General features: G+C 37.1%; 1 annotated feature.

The window, feature by feature from the left end:
- Positions 10,060 to 10,354: a silencer, noted in NCBI's record as "tiled region #14184; HepG2 Repressive DNase unmatched - State 5:Enh". NCBI's record gives its function as "represses a minimal TATA promoter and a strong SV40 promoter by Sharpr-MPRA in HepG2 cells {active_cell/tissue: HepG2}" and the evidence as "EXISTENCE:reporter gene assay evidence [ECO:0000049][PMID:27701403]".

Raw genomic sequence — 12,139 nt, forward strand, 5'->3', positions numbered from 1 at the left:
CATGTTCCTACAAAGGACATGATCTTGTTCTTTTTTATGGCTGCATAGTATTCCGTGCTGTATATGTACCACGTTTTCATGAGCAAATCTGCCATTGATGGGCATTTAGGTTGATACCATGTCTTTTCTATTGTGAATAGTGCTGCAATGAACATACCCGTGCATGCATCTTTTTGGTGGAACAATTAATATCCTTTGGGTACATACCCAGTAATGAGATTGCTGGGTTGAACAGCAGTTCTGTTTTTAGCTCTTTGAGGAATTGCCACGCTGCTTCCTACAATGGTTGAACTAATCTACACTTTCGCCAATAGTGTATAAGCATCTCCTTTTCTCTGCAACTTTGCCAGCATCTGTTATTTTGTTATGACTTTTTAGTAATAGCCATCCTGACTGGTGTGAGATGGTATTTCATTGTGGTTTTGATTTGCAATTCCCTAATGATCAGTGATATTGAGCTTTTTTTCATATGCTTGTTGGCCACATTATATGTTTTCTTTTGAAAAGTATCTGTTCATGTCCTTTGACCTCTTCAAAAAGATTTATCTTACCTAAAATTAGAAAATGCAGGTGATGGCCAGGCATAGTGGCTCACACCTATAATCCCAGCACTTTGGGAGTGGGCAGATAACTTAGGCTCAGGAGTTTAAGACCAGCCTGGGCAACATAGTGAAACCCCATCTCTACAGATAAAAATAAAAATAACTAGCCAGGTGTTGTAGTGTGTGCCTGTGGTCCCAGCTACTCAGGAGGCTGAGGTGGCAGAATCGCTTGAGCCCGGGAGGCGGAGGTTACAGTGAGCTGAGATCATGCCACTGCACTCCAGCCTGGGCAATAGAGTGAGACCCTGTCTCAAAAAAAAAAAAAAAGAAAGAAAGAAAAGAAAAGAAAATTCAGGTGATATTGTGTGTAAAGATTGTTAATCTCATCCTCATGGTACCAAGAAAACAATATTAAAATTATTATTTATCAAATATCAGTTATGAACCTAGCACTGTCTAAAATCTTGAAATTTTAGAAAAGATGTCATGGTTCTTGTCCTAAAATTACACACAGTATAGAAGCTGAAGCAAATCTAATACCCCAGTAAAAACTGGCTAATAAATAACCCTTACATTAGTTATATTTTGCAGCAAAATAAGCCACTCTTAAACTGTCCTCAGTTTTAAATTGCTAGACAGAAAAAAACAACATTTATATTTCTGGCTAGCAATTCTGTGAGTTAGCAATGCCAGCTGGCAATGTCAGTTGGCCAGTTCTTCTGCTGGTCTTTCCTGGGCTCAGACATTCAGCTGCATCTGCTGGTTGGGTTGGCTGGGGGTTAGTGGTTCTTAGGACAGCCACACTCATGTGTCTTGCAATTGGTGCTGGCTCTTGGTTAGTATTGGCCCTGAACTGGGAGACAGAGATGGCTGGGCTACATGTTTTCATCAACTTTTTCATTTAAGTGTCTTAGGGTTCTCACAAGAAGCAAGACAAGGCAAGCCCCAGTGCATAACACTTTTCAGGTTTTTTGGTATCACATTTGATTATTGTCTCTTTGGCCAAATTACGTCAAATGGCTGGGTCCAGAGTCATTATAGGAGGATCTATCCAAGGTCATGGATACAAGGAGGCTTGGACAAATCGTGGCCATTAGTGCAACAAAATACTCTAAAAGTATAACATTTGACTAGAATGAGATCGATGAGCAATGTCATGGAATAGGTATTATTTTGTAGCCACATCTTACTAAAAAATCAAGTATTAAAAATTATGGTATAATCAAAATAGGCTATAGGAATTATGAGACAAAATTATTATGGCTATAATAGTTTACGAAGGGCCTAAAGGAAAGAATGGCATGTAATGGCTCTCCAAGAATAGACAGGAATTTGATGCATTAAGAGGAATCTCTGGACAGAGGTTTAGAAGTGAGTAGTTAAGGGATACAACCTGAGAAAAGGCACAGATGACAAAGAACATGACAGGTGTGGGATAGTGAAGGAACAAACTTAAGTATAGTAGATAGCCCACCGGGAATTCTAGAAAATAAGACTAAATAAGTAAAATCAGCATAAATTATGAATGAGGACATTTTAACGTCAGACGTAAATTCAAATTATACTTTCATGATATCAAGAATATTTTAGGATGAATCATTTAGTATCAGAATTAAAGCTGGATGAGGGCAGGGATGAGCAGTAAAAACCAGATATACATTTAATACAATAATCCAAATTAAAGTACAAACATTGAAAATAGGGGGACTGGGACAAATACATGAAACATATTACATGAGAGGAATGGAAAGGAACAAATTCAAGACAAATTACACATAGAAAATAATGAAACTTTAAAACGATAGATTTAGACTCAATACCTCTTTCCTCCCACATCCCCTTTCCCTTTACAGCACAGTCTTTCATATATTTGAAAAGAGCTAAAACAGCACTACATCTTTCGTATTTTAGAAGTAATTTCCCCAGTTTAAGTATTCTTCATATGGCTTCCCACATTTCCTGCTGCTGAATACTATGTAGTTTGTCGATATCATTAAACTCTGATGCCCATAATAGAGAAGAGTATTTCACATGTGTCTGACCAGGGTAGAGTACAGCACTGATCTAAATACCATACTTATATTAATGCAGGCAATGTCTACATTGGATTTTTTTCCCTGTAATATCACACAATCAGTTCATATTTATCCTATAAAATCAACTAACTTCCTCAGAAACTTTATGAGGTCAAAGTCAGACCATATTCTAAGTCAGTTTACCTTCAAATATTTTTCACAGACCAGGCTCTAAAAATATTTTAAAATTAAGTATATATATGTATATATATATATATTTTTTTTTTAAAGACTCACTCTAGACATGGGCAAAATTTTTTAAATGTTTAGGGATATTCTGAAATCTTTTAGAGTGACTTGTTTTAGGATTCTCTTGCTGCCATTACGCAGCCCTATCATATGTGGATGCACAAATGAATGTGGTATTTAGTACAAATGATGCTCTTTCACTTACACGATGAGAATTTACTGATCTTGGTTATAGAAACAATTCTAAAACCTCTATTCCTGTTCCTAGCAGACACTTCACCCTTAGAGATCAAAGAATTTGAAGTCGTAAGATATAAATCGACTGGGAATCCAGACATTTTTCTGGACACTCATGTACATGACAGCAGGTTCATTAATAATTAGGTCGTTACACCGACAATTAATCAAGTCATGTCATTTTAATACATGGAAAATAAACCTGTCAGTGACAGCTTAACCACCTTTCATCTTCTTACAAGCAAGGCAACAAATAAATATGACAGTTTAAGAACAGGTGTAAATAAGAGACACGGCTCAGACAGGAATCTTCTCCTCTCCCTTTGCCATCCTCCCCCATCACACACACCTACACTAGTTTTATTTAACACCGTAACTCCTCTCCCATTATGATTTTCTTTTTTAAAAATTGCAGCTGAAAATACTGAAAATCATCCCAATGACCAGTGAGTCAAGCATGTAAGATCAAATGATTATTTTTCTAGTAAATAAGATACAATTACTGGCCAGGCACAGCAGCTCATGCGTATAATTGCAGCACTTTGGGAGGCCAAGGTGGCAGGATTGCTTGAGGCCTACAGTTCAAGACCAGCCTGGACAACATAGCGAGACCCCATCTCTACAAAAATTTTACAAATCAGCCAGGTGTGGTGGCACGTGTCTGTAGCCCTGCCTACTCGGGAGGCTGAGGTGGGAGGATCACTTCACCCCAGGGAGGTCGAGGCTGCAGAGACCCAAGATCATGCCATTGCACTCCAGCCTGGGTGACAGAGTAAGACTCTGTCCCAGAAAAAAAAAAAATATATATATATATATATACACACACACACACACACACACACACATATATATATGTATATATATATAATTACTCTTTGACCTTGATGGGAAAAGATGTACCATAAATTTTATCTTTGTACTTATCATCACCTATATTGCAGGCTTCTTCGGGAGTAAGAACTAGAACTATCTTAGTACCTTTTACATTTTGTTAAATGTAAAAATTTTTTATAGCAACGAACACAACCCACCAATACATAAAAATACAATGAGAATATGTGCCTTTTAACAAGGTAAATGAAAGACTTTTGTGATGTGAAGATGGGATTGGCAATAGATGGTAAACTTGAAAAAAAAAAATAAGTAAAAGAGGCAACTTCTCCGGGATATGCTAAAGTACCTGAGAAGTAGAAAGGACACCACTAGAGGGCGGTAGCCTCCTCGCTTGCCATAACTAGATTCTCTTATGCGAAACTTCCTACACCTAAAGTTGTTCAGTATTTCTTCCAGCTAATACTTGATTATTTTCTTCCTCCCACAGCAAATATCTGTTATGTTGTTTCACTAACCTTGAAATCCCAGTGACTCGGAGGTATAATATAATGCCTAGGAGTGTGAGCTTGAATAGAATATTTAGAACCTATTGTATTTTTATTGCTATTTTGGCCAAATAACTTTGAAACAAGCTGACACCTGAGATTTGGGAGAGATGTCATTTCTCACACCAAGTACTATGCACACAAGTAAAATTTAGTCTGTGGCCTGGCAAACGCTAGTTAAGATTGCTTCTTCTCAAGTCACACTTTGCCCTTTATCTTAGCACACAGGCAGCTGCGACAAGAGAGCCCTTTTGCCGAAAATAGCTTTCCAGCAGCCTGTCACTTTCCCCGAATCCATTAAGAGAGTGGTTCCCAACCTTTCAAAATGAGGACCCTTTACAAGCAAAATTTCACAGACATCTATGTGATAATTCTTGAGCTCTTAAAATTGGAGGTTAATATATCTATAACATCAAAAAGATAGTATAAAAAAGATACTATAATTTCAGTAACACCTTTTAATGAATTAGTATTGTATTAACCACAACAGCGTACATTTAAAAGATAGATAGAAGTACAAATATACAAAATATAATATTTAGCAGTTAACAGTTAAGGCTCATTGCCTAAGCAGGTTCATGAACCCCTGATGTAAACTCATGGTCTACCCCTTACGTACCCCACAAGGTCTGGGGTGTGCAAAGAGGGAATTGTTGAATTTGTGTATTATCCCACCAGACATCCAGTTTTAAGATGGAAACATCCTATTTTCTCATTTGACTTTTTTTAATACATCACAAACTCTCAGAAATGGAAAATGTGTATCTTTCTGCATACAATTAAGAAAGACCACAGTTTCTGGCATTCATCAGTTAACAAACCTAATCTAAGTTTGTGTGTAGCTGCTTACATATGATCTTCTTGTGAAGATTTACCAGGGTTCACATTTTTAAAATATCCATGAAAGTTTGATCTCTCAAAGACGTCAGTTCCACATACAGTGTGTCAGTATGACCTGAAAAAATTTCTCTGGTGTCCTAATGAGTACGTAACATGCATTCTTTAGCTTGAATTTCCTGTGAGTTTTGACATCATAGATTAAATATCTCCTGGCATATTAAAAGAGTATCTGGAGTCATGTAGCTCTGAAGAGAGCCAAGATTCCATAGCTCATGTTAGCTGACAGTGAAACTCCACCACTTAATTCTGGGAAAAGTCAAATTCTATCTTGTACCAAAGTCACTTACTGTACATACATTCTGCCCCTGCTTCTCATTGGAAGTGATCAACTGAAGGACAACATTTTAATTAAATAAAATAAAATGGTTATGTATTTAATTTAATTAAACATTCATGCTAGTTTAACTGTTATCAAGGTAAGATATTAAATATAATAGGATCCTATACAGTACTAAACTGAAGAAAATAAACTTACTCAAAAGACAGCATTCAATTCCTATGTCAATTAAGAAGCCATCATGTAAGATAGGGAAAATTAATTAATTATACTTTTCTATGTGTTGCTACTTTTCTACAAAACAGAAGTGATTGTTCTTATCCTTGTTAAATATACACATTCTTGTTAAATACAGAAAGGGGTTCTATGAGTCAAAGGCTGACAGAGAAATATAGAAGCTTGTCTGGAACCTACACCAGTGCTTCCCATCTATTTAGGTACAAGGTCCTCTTTTGAACATGCTAACTCCACAGTCTTTCACACTGGCAAGTCTGGTTTACGTATGCATCTGTGGGCCCTCGTCAGTGAGTAGAACTCTCTGGAATTTGGAGGCCAGAGTTGGGAAGTGCTGATCTGGGTTAACCTTCATTTTCTGAGGTCTGGAGAGATTAAGTGATTTGCACAAAATTACACAATTAACTAGGGTAAGCTACAGCTAAACTACAAGTCTCTTCAAGCTCTGTCTCATACAATTTCCACCACCCCCTAAATTATAGATGAAAGTACACAGAGTCACAGAAAGAAGATTCCTATGCTAATTCGGAGCACTGTATTTTCAGGCAAATTTATCAGCTAAGTGCTGAGAGCGCTACTGCACTTTAGATCTGGAAACGCAGAAGGGTGCTCAGGAAACTTATAAATAGAATGGTTGCAGATAGTTTGATGTCAGCTTTAGGACATAAATAATGTTTAGCAGGTGTCAAATCAAGGCTTGGTTCTGTCTGACATTTTCATCAGTGACCTAGATAAGACATTGGCAATCTATGGAGCTAAAGTCTCTCAAAAGAATTTTACATTTTCCTTCTGCTGTCTCCTGCCCACAACCTGTCACTCCTTTTCTTCTCCCATAATCATGCCCCATGCCATTCCCACAGCTCAACTGATCTCAGTGAGAAGTTAGATTATTTAATTAATTACTACTAAGTTGTCAGTGACTAATATAACAGCCTTTCCAAACATCTTAGAGACCTTTAATTTTTTTAAATTAGTCTATTTATCCAAAATAATAATACTCTTTAGTGGGTGACACATGTATCTCTGTGCTGACTAGACTATTTCTTCCTGCCAAGCATGACCATAACTCCTCTAAATTCATTTTTTTTTAATTCTTGAAAATGTTGAAAGGATGGCATTTTTTCTACCTGAAACTGAACTAAACCTCTGAACTTTCCTCAGTATGATGCTTCAGGCAGCTACTAGCAATTAATCAGTGAAAATCAATTGGCGCTTGCCATGAACCTTAATTTGCCATTTCTGATGTATATGATGTGAATACATTCCTGTGTAGAGGTAGAGAATAATATTTTATAACCTTTCAAAAACACCCCCATAGCCCATTTTATTTGAAAAAGATAAGGTTACACTTCTTTTTGTTGTTGTTGCTCTCCACTCCTTACATATAAACAATGCTAAAGCTTGCAGAAAAAGAACATGTCTACAACTTCAATTTTATCAAAGAGATGGCAAATCCTTCCCTGAGGATCACTTAGATATAACAGTTATTTCTGGAAGTAACAAAAATGCCTGCAGTGGCATGGAATTTTGTAAAGTGGAATTCTAGCCATAGGTAGTGTATTCTTAATGAATATACCACTACATTTTTTTAAATTGAAATGACACCAATTGGACAAAAATCCACAAGGCCTTACAAATGAGGCTACTTAGAAACAGCCATGAGTATCTGACAGGTCAGGAAAGTAAACTGTTTCATACAGACTTTGCTGTTAAAAATACTCCAGTGATGTGTTTTTATAGGCAGGCAAGGGAAAATGTCCATAAATAGCTCTGGGAAGTTTAGCCAAGAGTTTAAGTTGCCAGTAAAAATATTAAATTGACCATCAATAGAAATATTTCAAATTTAGTGAATACTTAAAAAGGCAAAAATAAGAAGAAACTGAATGATAGCAACATTTAAATTTGTAGAATTATTTTCTCTTTGCTATATTCTGTATTTTTCTAATATTTCAGTGTTTCTTTCCCTATTTTCATATCCTATGATTTTCTTCATCCCAAATTATATTTTCATTTATCATTGATTTAAATGCTTTATTTCTTTTTTGTTTGTGAAGGTGGATTTTTTTTAACCTTATTCCAGAAACTTTCCCATCTGAATTTCAAATCATCGTTGCTTAACAGTTCATTTCTTTTCAAGGGATGGGGGGTTACTCTTTAACGAGTATGAGGGGTTGGGAGGGAAAACTTCACCTTTCTGACACTGGAAATTCGAATCAGTAAGATGTCCTTCATCCTGATACACGCTTTCTTGGGTGTTTACTGTCGGCACTCAACCATGAACTATGACTTGGCATCTGTAGTCTCTAATCCTAACTCAGGTTTATGAAGTTTCACAATTTTTTCCCTAGAGAACAGCCAACGCTGAGCTGGCGCAATACCACGGAGCACAGACCTTTGAGGAGCACACTACTGGCATCCATATAAGGAATACAGGACTTGGTCATGGCAGCCCAGGGCAGCAGGAGGAGTGCACTCAGCTCTTCGTAATTCCGTGCAACCATGCAAGTGAGGACGAGGCTGTCCGGCCCCTCCCTGATTGCCTTCTCCCACATAAGTTTGAGAAGGAGGCCTTGGACAGCACATACACTAAAATTTGAACGATGCAGAGAAGATTAACATAGAGTCAGAAAGAAAGAAAGAAAAAGGAAGGAAGGAAGGAAGAAAGAAAGGAAAGAAAGAAAAAGAAAGAAAGAGAAAGAAGAAAGAAAGAAGGAAAGAAAGGAAGGAAGGAAGGAAGGAAGGAAGGAAGGAAGGAAGGAAGGAAAAGAAACATGCTGGTTGGCAATATTTCAGAATGATGGTCTGATTCATGGTGACTTCTAACTTATTAATAAAGAATAAATATTTTCTTGAAAAACCAATTCCATGAACAGTTACTTAACTATATATATATATAATATAGTTTATATTAAAACTATAAATTTTAAAATTGAAAAGCTTCTTAAATCAAAGCCTTAACATGTTTCAACTCTCTCCTCTGATGAATTTAGAAGAGTTACTGTAACTCTTAAGCTATGCCTGAGTTGGAATTCAGAAGTAGGATCAGGGCTTAGCTTGAATCATTTGTCTAGGCTTTTTGATCTGGGGAAGCCATTTCATTTTTATTTCCTTTAGACACAGAAAATGTTTTCCCTTGTGTTAAAGTGGACATTTTTGTCCTCACTAATATTTTTCTTTTCTTTTCTTTTCTTTTTCTTTTTTTGAGACAAAGTCACCCAGGCTGGTGTGCAATGATGTGATCTTGGTTCACTGCAACCTCCACCTCCAGGGTTCAAGCAGTTTTCCTGCCTCAGCCTCCTGAGTAGCTGGGATTACAGGTGCCCGCCACCACACCTGGCTAATTTTTGTATTTTTAGTAGAGACAGGGTTTCACCATGTTGGCCAGGCTGGTCTCAAACTCCTGACCTCAAGTGATCTGCCCACCTCAGCCTCCCAAAGTGCTGGAATTACAGGCGTGAGCCACCATGCCCACCCTAATATCATTTTTAATATTGTAAACTTGTCAGTTCTCTCTTATATTCCAATTTTCCTCACGCCTCTACTCACATTGTTTCTTGCCAGTTACCACAGTAGGAGTAATCTTATCTAGCAATTGTAGATAATACATTAAATTTTAATGTTAAAAACATTCTTCTTAAAATTCTTGACACATGACCTGTGTTATTTCTTCTGATACTCTGCCATTGAAAGCTACAAAGGAGGTTAAGTGTCTACAAAATCCCGCCTTTCCTGTTTTCCTCAGTTACTGCAATTCCAAATTTTTACTGGGAATTTTAATGTAAACAAGTTTGCAATGATTTTCATACCATCCTTGAAACCTCTGAGTCTTGTAAGCATCTCTAGGATTATGTAGAGGATTTCATTTGTTTTCCCCATTTTTTCTGTAGCCTAACTTAACATGACTAAGGTTCAAGGACATGGAAAATTAACCTTACACTTTGGAAACACAGATCAAGTGACATAGACTCAGTTTAAGAAGGTCATTTCATGACTCACTGATAATTATTTCAGGACAGATTTGATAATTGAGAGTGAGCCATGTTAGTCTTCAAAACAACGTAAGAAAAAGTTACTGATTTGCTTTTGGAAAAGCATATTCATCTTACATAGATAACAGGAAGGAAAATGGTGAGGCTCTTCGGGATTGCTTTTTTTTTTTTATGTTTGCCTTTGACAAGTGTATCAAAGGTTAATAAAGCCCTTTGGAATTTTGATTTTTGAAACACTAACACACGTAAACTTAAAAGCACTACCGGTTGATTAGAAGGTGGTACTTTTGGGTGTGAATGCTGCCCGTTTCACATGCAAACTGCGTCCAGCAAACAATCCTGGGAACAGAGCCAAGAAATGTCATTTCTCTCACTTTGTACTTCCATAATAAGTCTTCATCCCCAAATGCTTTCCCCTGTTCTGTCCGCTGACTAATCCACCCACTCAAAATCTTTCCTGTTTACACTGTAAAAGAATGGTATTTTTAAAACCTTTACTCCTTTAGCAAAAGCACCCAACATAAAGCCTTGCACACAGACACACGTAATAAATGTCATTTTGAAAATCTTTTAAAATAGATATCCCTTTATGAACTTCAAAGATCATGCAAAGGAATAAGTCAAAGCTAAACCCAGCAACTTGACTCTCCCTTCCAAATGTGTTACCATCAGAAAACACTAGAATCTGAGTGCAAGACTGAAACTCTGAAAGATTCTACCTTATTTAGCATGCAAGTTAGTCCTGTAATCCGTAGAATCAATATCAACACTTCAGAAGGATCTGTCCTGACTTGGCATAACATTTGATTTTTCTTAGCTTGTGAAATTGATCCTCTCCCTAACCTAGATTGTTAAACCTCATAGAAGACATTATTAGGCATGAGCAACAGTTTATTTCTGAAATCTGAATAAAAAATAGACATTTACTCACACAGTAGGTGATAATCCATGGCCATTTCCCTCATATAAACAAACTGCCCTCAACTAACTCCGGAAACCTCTTTTAATGATAGTTCTTGCAAAAGGTCAGCTAAAGTTTATTTTGCTTTCTTGCCTTTGTTGGAATTTTAGAAAACATGGTATCTTTTTAAAAAAGATTTTATGTAGCTCTCCATAAATCAGAATTGTTTGGCCATCTCTTCAGAGGCATAGCATTGAAGCAACTATAGTGTTTTCATTTTTCTCTACTGAAGGAACATTCTCATCCTGTGGTTTCAGAGAATATTTAGAAAGATAATCAAATAAATCTGCTTATCTTCTTTTCTACTTCCAACATAGACCCAATTTTGCAACATATTACCATCATTGGGTCAAACTGACCATGGCAAACACAAATTTTGTTGAATCAGTTTTAGTCTCTACCAAATCTACCACCCTCTGCCATCATATTCCACAGTTATGCCACTGTCCTGCCATTACACCTTGTAAAATCTTACAACAGGTTTTGTGAGATTTTTATTAAAACCTCACAGTACTATTTTGCCTCCCCCCTTATCTTTGTGGTTACCAGACCTTGCTCGTTTTCTTTATAGGTATCTTTCTGACACACCAATTTCCATTTGGAGCCATTCCTATTATAAGCCTTTGTAATTGACCACTTGACTAATATTTTGCCCTTCAGCTTCTCTCACCTTTAATCATCCTAAACGCTATTTGTCTTATAGTAAGATATCAGAAAATAATTGTAAATGTAAGCCACAGGTAACAATACATATAAGATATCGTTATTGTACAAACTTATCAAGTAATTAACATCAACTAAGCTTTGTTCTTACTCTAACACCCAGCACACCTGAGGCCAGGGCTTGGGAGGTGAGGCCTGGGTGCTCCACTCCCAGCTCAGGCTGCTAGCATTATTGGGGTGGGGGGTCATAGGAGGAAGGTCATTTCTGAAGACATACCAGAGATGGTTCATTAAATAACAGAGATCAGTGACTGTACCAAGCCAGGAGGGAATCTAGCTGTAAGTCTGTTCAAAGAAATGAGGGGACAAATGCAAGTACAGCAAGGCACTAAAGTTTGAACTCACACTTCAGCAAAATCAAAGGCAGTAGGATAAAGCAGGAGGGGAGCCTAAAGCAGGAAGAGATGAGATGTAGTGTGAAGAACAGGCCAGCCTACTCCAGGTAGTACCCCTACACTTTGCAGATCCTCTAGACCTTCGTTTCCCCACGACTCACTCAACCCGGATACTCAGCTCAAAAAATTTTGTTTTTCCCCCACTTCCTTTCTTTCTCTCCCTCCTCTTGCACATTTGCCTGACTTGATATAAGCAAAACCCAAAATCCAGTTTTCCAAATACATAGCTTTTCTTACA

Source organism: Homo sapiens, chromosome 4, assembly GCF_000001405.40.
Source record: "Homo sapiens chromosome 4, GRCh38.p14 Primary Assembly".
NCBI classification, from domain to species: domain Eukaryota; kingdom Metazoa; phylum Chordata; class Mammalia; order Primates; family Hominidae; genus Homo; species Homo sapiens.